Source organism: Homo sapiens, chromosome 14 (assembly GCF_000001405.40).
Source record: "Homo sapiens chromosome 14, GRCh38.p14 Primary Assembly".
In the NCBI taxonomy this organism is placed as follows: domain Eukaryota; kingdom Metazoa; phylum Chordata; class Mammalia; order Primates; family Hominidae; genus Homo; species Homo sapiens.
The window spans coordinates 58,162,718-58,179,770 of record NC_000014.9 but is presented as its reverse complement, the minus strand read 5'-3'; the positions used below and the strand labels follow the sequence as shown (position 1 = coordinate 58,179,770).

General features: G+C 40.4%; 1 annotated feature.

Moving 5' to 3' along the window:
* Positions 8,528–8,587: an enhancer, noted in NCBI's record as "active region_8440". NCBI's record gives its function as "activates an Ori minimal core promoter by ATAC-STARR-seq in GM12878 lymphoblastoid cells {active_cell/tissue: GM12878}" and the evidence as "EXISTENCE:reporter gene assay evidence [ECO:0000049][PMID:35858748]".

Here is a 17,053-nt window from a genome sequence, read left to right as displayed (position 1 = left end):
TAGAATTTCAATTCTGTATGAACTAATTGGTTATTCTTTGTATGGCTTCTGAAATAACTGTAATATTTAGAAAACACTTCTGTAATGCAAGGCTATAAAAATACTTATTCATTATTTCTGGTACATTCTTGGTGTCATATATTTATGTTTAAATTTCTGACTCACCTTGGTGATATTTTTAGCAAGAAAGAATACAGAAACCCAGCTTTAAAAAAATGGTAACTTAGTTGTGGGATGTAGTTACAATTTTAAAAAATGTTACTCTAAAATTCTATCAAGATCTAATTATCAGCCGGGAGCCGTGGCTCACGTCTGTAATCCCAGCACTTTGGGAGGCGGAGGCGGGTAGATCATTTGAGGTCAGGAGTTGCAGACCAGCCTGGCCAACATGGTGAAACTCCTGTCTCTACTAAAAATACAAAAATTAGCCGGGTGGTAGTGGCACGTGCCTGTAATCCCAGCTACTTGGGAGGCTGAGGCAGGAGAATCGCTTGAGCCTGGGAGGCGGAGGTTGTGGTGAGCGGAGATTGCCCAACTGGATTCTAGCTCCCAGAGAGAGACCCTGTCTCAAAAAAAAAAAAAAGTAGAGAAAAATAAACAAATGAGCCTCTTTTTGTTGTCATTACTCAGAATTTGTTTCTGTTGCTTTGCAATATTTCAATGAAGATATTCTTTTTCAATATTTATTCTGGTTCACAAATTAAATGTTGCTAAAATAAAGTGACATCAGGGCAGAACAAAATACAAAATGGCTACATACATGCAGTGTAGTTCAATATGAATTTGAATGTATTCCACCAACACAAGACGATTTGAAAGCAAGTGCAATGGACCAAATGTTTATGTTCCCTCCAAAATTCATGTGTTGAAATCTCACCCCCAAGGTGATGGTATTAGGAAGTGGGGCCTTTGAGAGGCGATTGATATTACTGCCTGTATACAAGGGGCCCCAGAGACCTAGCTCACCCCTTCTGTCATGTGAGGACACAGTGAAAAGATGGCCATCTGTAAGGAGCACCCTCACCAGACAATGAATCTGTTGATGTCTTGATCTTGGATTTCTCAGCCTCCAGAACTGTGAGAAATACATTTCTCTTTTTTTTTTTTTGAAATTTCATAAGGGATTTAATTCAGAAAAGTGGTCACATGTTTCTTGGAAGTCTTTAAAAAGTCTTTAAATATATTTTTTATTTTTACAAATTTATGGAGTACGTGTGTAAGTTTGTTAATTGTATATAATCTCTTGTTTGTAAGTCAGTATGGTATTTTGTCATGGCAGACATAATGGACCAACATGATAAGTTTCTATTATTTTTGGGGTGTCATTCAGCAAACTTGCCCCAAAGAATCTATTATCTAACTGATAGAATGATATGGTATATTTAGGTGATTTCTTATTGCCCCCTTTTTTTTTCTTTCTTTTCTTTTTTTTTTTTTTTTTTTTGAGACGGAGTCTTACCCTGTTGCCCAGACTGGGGTGCAATGGTACAGTCTTGGCTCACTGCAACCTCCGCCTCCTGGGTTCAAGTGATTCTCCTGCCTCAGCCTCCCAAGTAGCTGGGACTACAGGCACGTGCCACCATACCCGGGTAATTTTTGTATTTTTAGTAGAGACAGGGTTTCACCATGGTGGCCAGGCTGGTCTTGAACTCCTGACCTGGTGATCAGCTGGCCTCTGCCTCCCAAAGTGCTGGGATTACAGGGGTGAGTCACCATGCCCAGCCTGTCCTCTTTTTAAAAGTCAAGAAAATAGTTAGAGTTGTTAGAGTATAAGGCTCTTAAAGGCAGGGTAATTTTTCATTTAAATGATGGGGTCTTGCTATGTTGCCCAGGCTGGCCTTGAACTCTTGGGCTCAAGCAATCCTCCAGCTTCAGCCTCCTGAGTAGCTGCAACTACAGGTGTGCACCACTGCAACCGGCTTGTGGATAGGTTCTAGTCAACATAATAGTGGCACTAAATAATTTTTTAATAAATTTAAGCTGTAGAGTATATATCTTAAAAGATATATTTGTGATCATTAAAATTTGGAATTTGGAATTTTAAAAAATTGAAGTAATTTCAGTCTGTGATTGAAGATTTCTTCTATAGTTTTTTTCTCCTTTTATTAAAGAAAAAAACCCTAGGTCATATTTATGTTCAGAGTTTATATAAGCCTATTTTAGTTCAAAAATATATACAGTCAAAAGATAATATTATACTTAGATACAAAAGGACCCAGCCAGAATAATGTTTCTCATTTATTGAATGGATCACCAGTAAGATAGATTAGTCAAGCCAGGAACTAACAGACAAGGCTTTGCTTCTGCACCTACATCCTCGAGGCAGAGGGACAAGGACAATGGTGTACAGAGGTGGTAGGAATGAGTTGGGAGACAACGGTATAAAACAGTATAAAAGGGATGAGCCCTGGCCACCTGAAGCTTCCGAGATTGGCATTAGATCTGTCTCATCGGTTAATGCCTAACTTTACCTGACTCTTCTGGCCCTCTCCCAAACTGGAAAGATGGCATGAATCCATGGCCTTTGTTTAGGATTCTTTATTAGCATCACTTCTGTTTTAAGTGAACCCTAGGGAAAGGGTTCATGTCAACTCTAGGGAAAGCGTGACTTTGTGGTCTTCTATTCTGGGGCCAGGGCCAGGAGATTGAGTACTGGTTGATTGGTGTCATTTTTATATTTCTCTTTTCATTCACATGCAGAATAAATGGTACTTTCTCTCTCTCTCTCTCTCTCCCCTCCCCCCCCCTCTCTCCCCACCCCTTTCTTTTAAGTGCATGATTTTAATGAAAGCTTAATTCTGTGTGATCATGGTAATGGTCTAGGGAAACTACAACAGGCTGTAATTTTTTTTGTCAGCCCACAGAAGTCATCCTGAACAAAAACAACCTTAGCTTCAGCAAAATGTAGGCAGTAATTAAGATGAAGATGTGGGCTTTTTGCTCAAATTAAGAGAGTTTCTTTGATTTGCTTTACTAATGAAGCACTGTGTGGTAAGATTTTCAAGCTCTCAGTTTCTGAAAAAACCTTCTCAGGAACATAAAAAATCATTCTCAGTAAGTGGCAACCATTATTTCTATAATGGCATATATTTGTTGATCTTTGTGTATGTTTATAAAATATGTATTGTTTTTACTTTAAACATATCTTTTCTTACCACTCTATCCCTATTAAAACATAATAGAATGGAGTTTTTAAAATATCAATGATCACTTTCAGGTTTTTTCTTTTTAATGTCTTTTCTAGTTTTATTTTTAATTACAAAATTAATATATGCTCTAGATAAAATATTCAGACAATACAGAAACATATAAAGTAAAATTTTAAATCCTCTTATCTCTCCCAGTCCTACTCCTTAGAAGTAGTCATTGGGAAATAGTTTGTTGTGCTTTCAGACAGTTTTCTATTGGTATAAAAACATTTTAAATTAAAAACATTAACTCTTTTCCAGAACTTTATGTTGTAGAGAAGAAACAGTGCTACTTTTTTTTTTTTTTTTTTTTTTTTTTTGAGATGGAGTTTTGCTGTTGTTGCCCAGGCTGGAGTGCAATGGCACAATCTCAGCACACCACAACCTCCGTCTCCCAGGTTCAAGTGGTTCTCCTGCCTCAGCCTCCTGAGTACCTGGGATTACAGGCATGCGCCACCATGCCCGGCTAATTTTGTATTTTTAGTAGAGACGGAGTTTTTCCATGTTGGTCAGGCTGATCTTGAATCCCTGATCTCAGGTGATCCATCCGCCTTGGCCTCCCAAAGTGTACTTTTTATTTTTGGTAATTTTTATTTGGAATTAATTCCAGACTTATAAGAAAGTTGCAAGAATAGTACAAAAACTATACCCTTCACTCAGATTCTCCAATTGTTAACATTTTACCACATTTATTTTATAATTATCTCTGTTTTTATATATATGTATTATTTTTTCTGAACCATTAAAAAGTAAGTTGTATTTATGACATCCCTTTTCCCTAATTATTTCAGCTTGTATTTCCTAAGAAGAACATCCTCTGTCATAACCTTAGTATAAGTATCAAAATCAGGGAATTAATGTTGATACAGGGCCAGGTGCGGTGGCTCATGCCTGTAAATCCCAGCACTTTTGGTGGTCGAGGCAGGCAGATCACTTGAGGTCAGGAGTTCAAAACCAGCCTATCCAATATGGTGAAACCCCGCCTCTACTAAAAATACAGAAATTAGCCGGGCGTAGTGGCACATGCCTGTAATCCCAGCTACTTGGGAAGCTGAGACATGAGAATCGCTTGAACCTGGGGGATGGAGGTTGCAGTGAGCTGAGATCATGCCACTGCACTCCAGCATGGACAGCAGAGGAAGACTCCGTCTCAAAACAAAACAAAACAAAGAAATACATCGATACAGTACTATTATCTGCTCCACAGATTTTATTCTATTTTTAAAACTGTCCCAACAGCATTACTTTTTAATCGTATCATCATTTATTGAAAAGAATGTGTTAATCGATATGTGCCCTAACTTTTTTTTTTTTTTTTTAAACAAGTGTTCAAAGGAATGGGCTGGTTTACTAACCACAGACAATGTAGGCACTTCCACCTCCCTGTTATCTCCATATTTCTCCCCACCTTCCATCCTCTATCTCACACACCGACATATACGGATACACACAGGCACAAAGATACACTGATACAGACAGACACACACCAGACAAACACACACCCCTCAGTAGCCCTCTTTAGCATTTCTTGAACATGCCTTTTCTCGCCTTTTATTCACATCCTTTTCCCAAAATGCCCTTCCTCTTATTTTCCTTTTTTGACTGGCAAAATCTCACCCCACTTTCAAAGCCTCCTATTTGACAGATCTTCTAACTCAGCCTCCCTCATGGGCACTTAGTTGTGCTTCCTTTGTGTTTTCTCAGCTTTCTGTACAAGCTTTATAATATTTCTTATTTTACCATCACTAGTTAGATTTCTACCTGATAGTTATACTAGCTGCTTATGGAAAGCAGAGACTTTCCAGGATCTAGCCCAGGGCTCAGAATAGAAAGAATCTCAATCAATGCTGGTTTAATACTGAGTGGTCTATAAGTCTTATCTTCTCATGAGTAAATGTCAGCAAAATGAATAAAATACTGGCTGCCTTCTTGTAAGTTACATTTCTTTCTTTTTCTTTTTTTAATGTAAAATGTGTCATACTGAAGCAGTGGAAGAAAAACTCTATAGCTTAAGAATCTACCTGAACTGAACATGACCAACACTGATGAAAGAAACAAGACTTAAGTATGGACTGGAATGTTCATGGACTGGAAGACATAATATTGTTACAATGGCAATACTACCTAAAGCTATCTACAGATTCAGCACAATCCCTATCAAAATTCCAACATCTTTTTTTTCACATAAATGGAAAAGATGATCCTCAAATTCATATGGAATTGCAAGGGGCCCTGAATAGCCAAAACAATCCTGAACAAAAAGAATAAAGTTGGATTATTCATACTTCCTGATATCAAAAGTTACTACAAAGCTACAGAAATAAAACTACTGTGGTATTAGCATAAGGATAGACACACAGACCAATGGGATAGAATTGAGAGTCCATAAATAAACCCATACATCTATGGCCAATTGGGTTTTAAAAATTGTAATAACATGAACATAGATAGTGGAATAATAGACATTAGAGACTTGGAAAGGTGGGAGGGTTGGGGAGGGTGAGGGATGAGGATTATCTAGTGGTCCAGTGTACACTATTTTGGTAATGGTTATGCTAAAAGCCTAGACTTCACCACTGTGCACTATCTCCATGTAAAAAAAAAAACCTGCACTTGTACCCACCCCCAAATGTATTTTTAAAAATTTTAAAAATAAAATTAAATTAGCAGAAACAATTGTGTTAAAATACACATAACATAAAATTTACCATCTTTTTTTGTGAGATGGAGTCTCACTCTGTCACCCAGGCTGGAGTGCAGTGGCATGATCTCAGCTCACTGCAACCTCCACCTCCCAGGTTCAAGCGATTCTCCTGCCTCAGCCTCCTGAGTGGCTGGGGCTACAGGTGTGTGCCACCACGCCCGGCTAATTTTTTTTTTTTTTGTATTCGGGGTTTCACCATATTGGTCAGGCTGGTCTCAAACTCCTGACCTCATGATCCGCCCGCCTTGGCCTCCCAAAGTGTTGGGATTACAGGCATGAGCCACTGCACCCGGCCAAAATTTACCATCTTTTAAAGTGTACAGTACAGTGACATTATATACATTTGCATTCTTCACCATCCATCTCCAGAACTTTTTTCATCTTGCAAATCTGAAAATCTGTACCCATTAAATAGTAATATGGCCAATTGATTTTTGATAATGGCAACAAATCCATTCAATGGAAAAAGATAGCATCTTCAACAAATGGTTCTGAATTTCCACATGCAAAACAATGAGGTTGGACCTCTATCTCTCATACCATATACAAAATTAACTCCAAATCCATCAACAACTTAACCATAAGTGCTAAAACCATAAAACTCTTAGAAGAAAACATAGGGCTACAACTTTGTATTTGGCAATGAGTTCTTTTTTTTTTTTTGAGATGGAGTTTCACTCTTGTTGCCCAGGCTGGAGTGCAGTGGCACAACCTCAGCTCACTGCAACCTCCGCCTCTCAGGTTCAAGCAATTCTCCTACCTCAGCCTCCCGAGTAGCTGGGATTACAGGTGCCCACAACCATGCCTGGCTAATTTTGATATTTTTAGTAGGGACGGGGTTTCACCATGTTGGCCAGGCTGGTCTCGAACTCTTAACCTCAGGTGTTCCACCCCCTTGGCCTCCCAAAGCACTAGGATTATAGGCGTGAGCCACTGCATCTGGCCTGGATTCTTAATATGACTTTAAAAGCATAAGCAACAAAAGAATAAATATATAAATTGGACTTCATCAAAATTAAAAATTTTTGTGCAACAAAGAACACTGTCAAGAAAGTGAAAAGACAACCTATAGAATAGGAAAAATACTTGCGAATTGTATATATGTTAAGGTTTAATACCCAAAGTATATAAAAAACTTCTACAATTCAACAACAAAAAGACAAAACATTTTAAAACAAAATGGTTGTAAACAAACAACAAAAAGACAACCATTTTTGTCCATCTTACAATGGACAAAAGGCTTGAATAAACATTTCTCCAAAGAAGATAAACAAATGGCCAATAAGCACTTGAAAAGATGTCAACATCATTAGTCAATGGAGACATACAAATTAAAACTCCAAGCTATCACTTCACACTTACTATGATGACTATTATTAAAAAATGGAAAATAACAAGTGTTGTTGAGGATATGGGGAAATTGAAATCTTTATAAGTTAGCAATAGGAATGTGAAATGGTGCAGCTGATGTGGAAAACAGTTTGGCAGTTCCTCAACAAGTTAGACATAATTACCATATGAGCACACCTGGGTATATACTCAAAATAATGGAAAAGAGTTACTCAAAAAAATACTTGTACACCAATGTTCATAGCAGCATTATTCACAATAGCCAAAAGGTGGAAATAATCCAAGAGTCTATCAACAGAAGAATGGATAAACAAAATGTGGCGTATACATACAATGGAATACTATTCAGCCATAAAAAGGAATGAAGTTCTAATACATGCTAAAACATGGATAAACCTTGAAAAATATTATGCTATGTGAAATAAGCTAGACACAAAAGGACAAATATTGTATGATTCCACTTATATGAAATATCAAGCATAGGCAAATTTATAGAGGCAGAAAGTAGATTAGAGGTTACCAAGGGCTGGAAGTACGGGAGAATGTGGTTATTGCTTAATGGACATAGACTTTCTGTTATGAGTGATGAAAAAGAAAATACATAGTGGTGATAATTGTATAACATAATTAATGCCTCTGAATTTTACACTTAAAACTGATGAAAGTGGCATATTTTATATTGTATATATTTTACCTCCCCACTTCTTCCTAAGAACCTCCCTGAGCCTACCTCAGAGTCTGAGACCCATATGGGTATTAGAGACTAGTTACTTTTCAGAGAGTGAAGGGAGAGACTGCCAACTAAGGCAGGTCCCAACACATAAAATCAGAGTCAAGGTGAGCAAGAGTGTCGTTTTAAAGTTTAGAATCTAATACTCTTGTCTTTCCAAATTTAGTTTATATCAAGACTCACCCAATCTAACTGCTTTGTCCTCATCCATAAAGACTCTGATTTGTTAAGTTTGAGGTGGGCTGGAACACTTATTTTTAACGTTTCCCAGGTGAGTGTGAAGCCAAAGGACAGAAGTATTCTTAAAGATATTTGTTAATACACTCTGAAAACAGAGAAAAGAATGTCTTCTGGTGTCTGGAGGGCCCCTGACTGTAAGATTCTGTGGAATATTTGCTCTTTCAATGTCAAGCTTAGATTCCTGCTTCTGGCTCCCAGCTGAGGGCTCCGGACTGCCATCTGCATGCTTAGCCCTGCCCCAAGCTTGGGGACCAATCAGAAGGTCGGTCTTCTGCTGACTCAGCATCAGGTCGCAGTGACTCAGCACCGTGTGGCAGCTGTTCCTCCTGATCTGATCTTGTCACCGGCTCTGACCTTGCTCTCATTTTCTATCCCAGTTATGATAATTGGGTCTTTGTTTTGTCGCCAAACCCCTGTCCTTTTCTTGCCAGTTTTCTCAGGGGAGTCTGTCCCTGAATCTTGGTCTTGGGAGGAAGGTTTTCCTGCCTTGGCTCAGTATTTTTTATTGAAGGTACTCACCTTCAAGATTTTATAAGATCCACTCTATTCCTCAATTCCTTCCCATTCCCATACCCTTCCCCATTATACATAATTCCCGTTTAAATTCCCTTTCTTCTCTACTTAATCTCCAGGGGTTTGGTGCCTTCCCTGGGACTCCACTTCTGACTCCATTTACCTTCCCACTAACAATCCACCTTGCCGGTCTGTCCTAGTAAGCTGCAGGTTAGCTGTGGAGGCACCTGACCCCCTAATACTTCACAATCTGCTTTCTGTTGGATTCCCTGGTCCTGGGCTCTGCCTAGATGCCTGTTGGAATATCCCATTATCCCCACTGCTTCCTGCTGCGCACTGCGGGGAAGGGACAAGGAATGAATAGTTATGGGTATCCTCGATGTTTTGGGTGCTATGGTAGGTGCTTTGCAAGTGTTGTTTAATGTAATAGATTATTTATTTATTTTGTTTTTGACAGAGGCTCTTGTTGCCCAGGCTGGAGTGCAATGGCACTATCTCGGCTCACTGCAACCTCTACCTCCCGGGTTCAAGTGATTCTCCTGCCTCAGCCTCCCGAGTAGCTGGGATTACAGGCGCCCACCACCATGCCCAGCTAATTTTTGTATTTTTAGTAGAGACAAGGTTTTCCATGTTGGCCAGGCCGGTCTCGAACTCCTGACCTTGTGATCTGCCCGCCTTGGTCTCCCAAAGTGCTGGGATTACAGGTGTGAGCCACTGCGCCCAGCATAGATTATTTTTAACCTTTTATTTTGGAATAATGATATGACACACAGAGGTAACTTGCCCAAGGTAAATGCAGCTGGTAAACTGCGAGACTAGAGTGTTTACTGAACTGGCTCTAAAGTTTCTATTTTTTGGCTTCATCAAGCAGGTGTGGACTATCCTGTGGTGGAGGTGGAGGTGGGGCTGGTGTGACAGGTTCCAGTCTCTACTGCTCCCTTCCTGCCCTGTCCTTCTTCCATTCACTCTCCCATGCCAGGCAGTGCTGAAGGACACCAGGCATTTCTCCTGCTTTGGGTTGAGTATTTGCAACGTGTACCAGGGCTGGTGTGAAGTATATTTTCCCACGCACTTTATGTTCTCATTTATTGTTAATTCCCTCTGTGGAGGAAAAGTTTAAAGTATGTCTTTTAGGTTGCATATTTACAGCAACTAACCCCCTAATAACACTTTAAAACAATGACGTATCTAAAAAGACTGGAGAGTATGTAGTGATTAACTATGATATATAACGTTGAACCAATAATATTTTCTACACCATTAGCAAATCAGGCCTGCTTTGATCTGTCAACAGAAACCTACTTCTCACCCACTCGATATAAATATAGAGCAAGAAAGGAGCTCCTAGAGTTGAGTTCCTCAGCTGTTCTATGTTTTGTAGATTAAAATAGGGAGATGATCAAAGTATGATTTCATGAATCACATGATTTATTGCCATAGAAAGATATATTTTTCTTTTCCATAATGCTGAAAGAGAGGGAGAATAACAAGAACAAATCTCACAGGGAATATATTAATACTCAATAGACAGAGTGCATTAGCCACAGAATCAGTGAGTTCCAATTTCATTTAGAGTCCATTATTAAAGTCTAGTTACTCAGTTAGGATGGAAGCAGGCCTCTGCGGATGTAGAGTCCAATCAAAGTTTGAGGCATACAATGGAATACTATTCAGCCATAAAAAGGAATGAAGTTCTAATACATGCTACAACATGGGTAAACTTTGAAAAACATTACGCTATGTGAAATAAGCTAGACATAAAAGGACAAAAGCTTTCTTGTAGAAAGCTACAAGAAGTTCTTGGCAAAGATGGTTTGACCAACACAGCAGAGATCCTCAAAGACATGCAATGATGGGCAAGTTCCCTCCAGGCTAGCACGTGGTGCTGGTGTTGGCTGGAGATGCTTTGGAGAATAGCTTGAAGGCTGACAGAGAGTAGCCCTGCCGCAGCCTAAGCTCTCAATCTGTCTATCAAAATCTTGGGTTTGTATATGTTTTGGAGTCCAGTAGTTGGAGGCCAATAACTCATTTATATGGTCTGATAAAATGTGACATAGCATTCTCACAGGGAGAAGGATTAGACTCCATGTTATTCCCACAGCAAAACATGTAACTCCTACAACAAACTATGTAAGTATTTGGAATCATTGCAAAGCGACATAACATCCTATTTAGTTGGGGTACTATCCCAGAGGGCAACTGGCTTGTGGCTAAAATGCCCATAGTATAGCTGAACTTTTTGAATTTTTCTCTAGGGTAGGAGAATCCATAGGATTCTAATGATCCTGTTGACTCTTCATACTTGTCTAGCCCTATACAAATTTTTCCTGGATTGCTCTATGGAGAAGGCAAAATGGGATTTCCATCCCAGCAGAGTTTAAAGAACAATCATATGCGTAACTATCGCAAGGAAGCAAATTTCAGCCCCACGTATAATTTAATCAATTTCTATTATTAAAACAAAAATTACCTGAATCACCCAAGCTAAACTTTGGACTAATTTTTAAATTCTTTTTATCTCTCAGTCATTCACCATATTCAACTGTCCCTCTCCTCTCCCACTTGCTTGCTCAAAAATTTTCCTAGGGCTTCCTCTTCTTGCCTTATAATTAAGGCCAAATGCCTTGGTTTAACATTCAAGGCAGCCACAATCTGGTCTCCACGTAACCTCTCCTTCCTTATTTCCCATAGCTCCTTTATACAAATTATGCTACCATGACATGCATGCCCCTACTCCTGTGCCTAGTTCATTCCATTCCCCCAGCCTGAACACCCTACCCTTGTAAGTCTGAGTCCAACTTTTCCCTTCGTGCTAGCTCAAGCCCCACTTTCTCTGTGAAAATTGTCCTGATTGCTTTAGCACACAGTTTTCTCGGCTTTCTCTCCTGCTCTTTTCTTGCCATAATTGATGCATGCGCCCTACTTAGCACAGTGATCCTGACACCTTGTAAGTGTTCAGCAGAGTGGGTAAGAAGATCAACTCTGGAGCCAGACTGCTCGAGTTGGTATTCCAGCTCTGTTGCTTGCTTGCTGTGTGCCATTAGACAACCTAGTTAACTTCTGTGAACCTCAATTTCCTCGTCTATGAAATAGGAATAGTAACTACACCTTGCAGGGTTGTTGTTTTATATATATATACAATCTATAAATATATAAAAATGTAACATATATCATATATGTATATATACATATACACTGTATAGATGCATGTATTTTGTATGTGTATATGTTTGTACATATAGTTACTTATGCTTTTACACAGATGTTCTATGTTCTTCACCTAATGTTTGCTATTTGACAGTAGGTATTGGTTACTTATGCCAACCAACTCAGAAAAAGTTCAGGTTAACATACAAGGATAATTATGGAGGAATACATCACTCACAAACACACCATCTTGCAAATGTAAGTTGTGGGATAGCACAGATGAAGAAAAGTCCAGAAGGACAGAAAAGTCCAGAAGGTCAGCTCTGGACTGCAGGTGGAGAATGGGTGGAGGGGTCAGCAATCCTCCTAGAGAAAAGGGATTTTCAAATCCTTCGAGAGGAGAGATGAAAGGATTTGGCCAACTGATTTGGGCCCCATTTCATTTCCCTTCGGAAAGGGAGTGCCTGCTGCTGGCTTGGTGGGGGTGGGGGGTGATTCTAGACTGCTGGGGAAACTAGTGCAGAGCTCAGTGCATAGGAAGCAGGGCTGACTGGCTGCTCATGATTGGCTTGAGGCTCAAAGAAGCAAAGAAGAGACTACATTTTTGCTTTGGGTTGCCCAGTCCTGCTCACCAGTCTTGGAAAGGAGACAAAATTTCCATCTGGTGCTGCAGACTGTGAACTTGAGTGGTGTACTCCTTGGGCAGAATCACTCAGGGTGCTGTGAGGTGCAGGTGGTGGGTGGTGGTGTTAGTGGTGCTAGTGGTGTGTGTGTGTGTGTGAGAGAGAGAGATAGATGGGATTGATGGGGGGACATTATATGACAAACTGTGAGTATGTAGGGGGCATTTAGGTGGGGGGATGGTACAAGCTGAGAGGAATGTAGGCCAGAGGCATCCATGCTGGAGTGGGTGATACAGGCTGGGAAATGATTCAAGCTGGGGAGATGTATCCTGGGGGAATTCAGGCTGGGGTGATACAGGTTGTGGGATATAGATTGCGGGGATACAGACTGGGGTGCACGGGCTGCAGAAGGTGTTGTATTAAGTTTCTATGTTATATAACAAATTTTTACACACTTAGTGTCTTAAAACACACCATTTATTAGTTCACAGTGCTGTAGGTCAGAAGTCCAGCACGGTGTGGCTGAGTTCTCCACTCAGTGTATCCCAAGGGGAGAATGAACGTGTCAGCTGGGCTGTGCTCCTTTCTAGGGCTCAGGAACCTCTTAAACTCACAGGATTGTTGGAAGAATTCAGTTCCTGTGGTTGTGGGAGTGAAGCATCTTGCTGGCTTTTGGCCACGGCATTCCAAACCACTAGAGGGCGCCCGCAGTTCCTTGTGTGGTTCCCTTCCCAGGTCCTCTCATGCTTTGAGTCTCTGACTTCTCTGTTTATAACCTCTACATTCAGATTGAAAGGGTCCATTGATTATGTCATCCCTACTAGATAATCTCCCTATTTTTATTTTTGAGACAGGATTTTGCTCTGTAGCCCAGGCTGGAGTGCAATAGTGTGATTGGGGCTCACTGCATCCTGGAACTCCTGGGCTCAGGTGATCCTCCCACCTCTGCCTCCCTAGTAGCTGGGACTACAGGCACGTGCCACCAGGCCTAGCCCTCTCCATATCTTAAAATCAACTGATTTGGGACCTTAATTACATCTGCAACTTCACAGCTGCACTAGATTCATGTTTGACTAAATTACTGGGAAAGGAGTCATGTTTGACCGAATTACTGACTCATGTTTGACTGAATGACTGGGAAAAGAGTAATTACTGAATTACTCTGATGCGAATTATGCATACCAGAGGCTATGAGTCTTTGAGACCATCTTAGAATCCTGCCTTTCAAGAGGAGATACAGGCTGGGGGATTGGGGAGTGATAAAGGATACAGTCTGGTGGGGCAATAGATTGGAGAGGATACAGGAAGGTGGATAATAAAAAGCCGAGATGGATACAGGTTAGGAAGTGGTACAAATTAAGAGAGGATACAGGCTGGGGCGTGATGCAGGCTGAAGAGAGGATAAAAGTCAAGGGAGGATACAGGCCAGGGAGAATACAGACTGTGGGAAGGTCTGAGGGGCTGAGGAGTGATACACACTAAAAACAATACAGGCTGGAGTGGGATGCTGGAGGAGGCACTGTGGGCAGCTGGGTGCCTGACACGTGGCTAGTTGAATCTGAGTGCTAAGACAGAACTGCATGCCCAGGTGTGATGGCAGCATTCCACCCAGCCTCGGTAATCAGGGAGAGTTTCCTGAACAGGATGGCTAAGGTGAGTTTGGAACCATGTGTAAGTATCCTTAGCCAGACAAAGAAGACACAAATGTTCAATTCAGGTGAGAGAACATGAGCCCATCCCAGGCACAGAGGTGTCAATGTAGATTACGATGCTTAGTTGGGAAGCTAAATCTTTGTCACCAAGGCTGGAGGGCAGTGGCATGATCTCAGCTCACTACAACCTCTGCCTCCTGGGTTCAAGTGACTCTCCTGCCTCAGCCTCCTGAGTAGCTGGGATGACAGGCATGCACCACCATGTCTGGCTAATTTTTGTAGTTTTTAGTAGAGACGGGGTTTCACCATGTTGGCCAGGCTGGTCTCCAACTCCTGACCTCAGGTAATCCACCTGCCTTGTTCTCCCAAAGTGCTGGGATTACAGTGTGAGCCACCGTGCCTGGCCGGGAAGCTAAATCTTTGGTTAAACTCTTAAATGTGTTTCTTTACCCTTGAAACAGGAAAGTGCCACTGAATAGGAGAGGAAGAGTCCTGGATTATGCATCCAGAGATTTGGGTTCCTGTGTAGGCTTTGCCCTGACATTGGGCAATCTCTTGCAGGTTTAGTGTCTCATTTGATAAATAAGGAAATTGGAGCAGAAGAGAAGCACACCTCCATAATTATTATGTGTTTTGAGATCTTTAAATGAGATAAATCTATTAAATATCTGTAATAGGCCAGACATTATTATAATTCCAACTTATTTTCAGCTATGTAAGTCATGTAATTGGTTCTAGTTAAGTGCAGTTTCATAAAATGCTAGATCATTTAAATAATAGTATAATCTCAATAAATTTAAAAACATTTTCTGCCTATGTAAAAATGTTTCTGCTTGGGGAAAAATTTAGTGTTAATGGGAACCTGGTGGATGGACATAGTGCAAATTACTTAGTTAAATTTGACAGTTTCATTGGCGAAACTTGGTGAAATTCCAAGAAAATACCACAGAATTATGCCAAAATTACCATTCTAAAATCTATTCCCAGAAAATTGTTCTTTCCACAATAACCTGAAGTTTAAATATAGGGATACTGATAGGTCCATTTTTATTCCCAGAAAGTTCCTCAAGAAATAAAAAAAATCCATTAGCCATCAACTCAGGAAATACGTGCTTCTATAGCTGAAAATCAATACTTCATTACCCGGGTCTGCAATTGTTTCACATAATAGTATTCATTGAATATGTAATGGGTGTTAAAGACACTGTGTTTAGTACATTACACCTTATCTCGTTTAATTCTCCCAATAATCCTAGGATATCAAAACTATTATTATCCTATTTTGAAGCTAAATGCATGCTCCTGGTTCCTATGCAATACTTTTACTTAGATTGTTTGAACACTTATTTGCTCTCTTATCTCAGGAAAGGCCAAGAACCTCCAGGTGACCTCTACAGCAGTTCAAGTCATGTTACTAAGAAATGGCTCAAAGGCATAGCCAGATTCTACTACTAAGGAGAGCTGCAATGTAAAAAAGGTGCCACTTGTGGATTTTCTGGTCTGAAAATATGCTCCTTTTGGGACAGTGATTTTCCTGTGCTCCCCCTCTAAATATATAACTGTTTTGCTTCAACCAGGGAAGCTATTAAAAATACTCAGCATGGCAAAAGCACTAGCCAATCAGAAGAGACCTTCAACTGTGCCAGGGTGTATTAGTCTGTTAGGGTTGCCTAACAAAGTACCATGAACCAAGTGCCTTAAACAACAGAAATTAATATTCTCATAGTTGTGGAGTCTAGAAGCCCAAGATCAAGGTGTCGACAGGGTTGGTTTCATCCGAGGCCTCTCTTTGTGGCTTGTAGATGGCCACTTTCTCTCTGTGACTTCACATGGTCTTCCATGTCTGTCTGTGTCCCTTTTATAAGGACACAAGGCATATGGGGTTGAATTTTTAATTAATTACCTCTTTAAAAACCCTCTTGGCTGGGCTTGGTGGCTTACGCCTGTGATTCCAGCACTTTGGGAGGCCAAGGTGGGAGCATCACTTGATCTCAGAAGTTCGAGACCAGCAGGCAACATAGCGAGACTTTGTCTCTACCACAAAAAAAAAAAAAAAAAAAAAAAAAAAATTAGCCAGGCATGGTGGTCCATGCCCGTAGTCCCAGGTACTCAGGAGGCTAGGCAGGAGAATCCCTTGAGCCCAGGAATTTGAGGTTACAGTGAGCTATGATGGCACCACTGCACTCCAGTCTGGGCAACAGAGCAAGATCCTGTCTCTAAAAATAAAAATAAAAATCTAAAAAAGACTCTCTTTCCAAATACAGTCACATTCTCAGGTACTGGGAGTTAGGGCTTCAGCATGTGAATTTTGGGGGAATACAACTCAGTCCATAACACAGGCGTTACTCCCATTTACTTCAGGATGGTGGGGAAGAGGCGGAGGAGTTGAGGCTGGGAAAGGGATGACATTGGGCAGGCTTGGAGCAACAGCCTGGGATAATGGATAATTTCTTCCATATATTTATCATCTGCTTTAGATGTCCTTGATGTCTGCCACATTTCTTATACCCAGGTAGAAGGAGAGGGAGAGGAAGTAAGATCAATTGCTTATGTTTGTGCCTTGGGCAAAAGAATGGGCCTGTAAAACTGCTTATGAATGAATAATGCATTGCACCACGTGAAATTTTGTTATATTCCTCAAGGCTGCCTCAAACACAGCAGCATACTGGAATTAAAGACTCTGAAATTGAAAAGGATTGGGCCAAAGTACTCAGGCTCATGTCTTTGAAACAAGGAACAATGTATACACTGGAGAAGACATTAGATTTTAAAAGCAGCAGTATGAAATCTAGAAAGTAGAAGTATGAGAAGAGAAAATCAGAAGAATAGAATTTAAAAGAGAAATGGAGAGTAACAAGGAAAAAAATCTGTTTTTTTTTTTTTTTTTTTTATGAACTGAGCAGAAT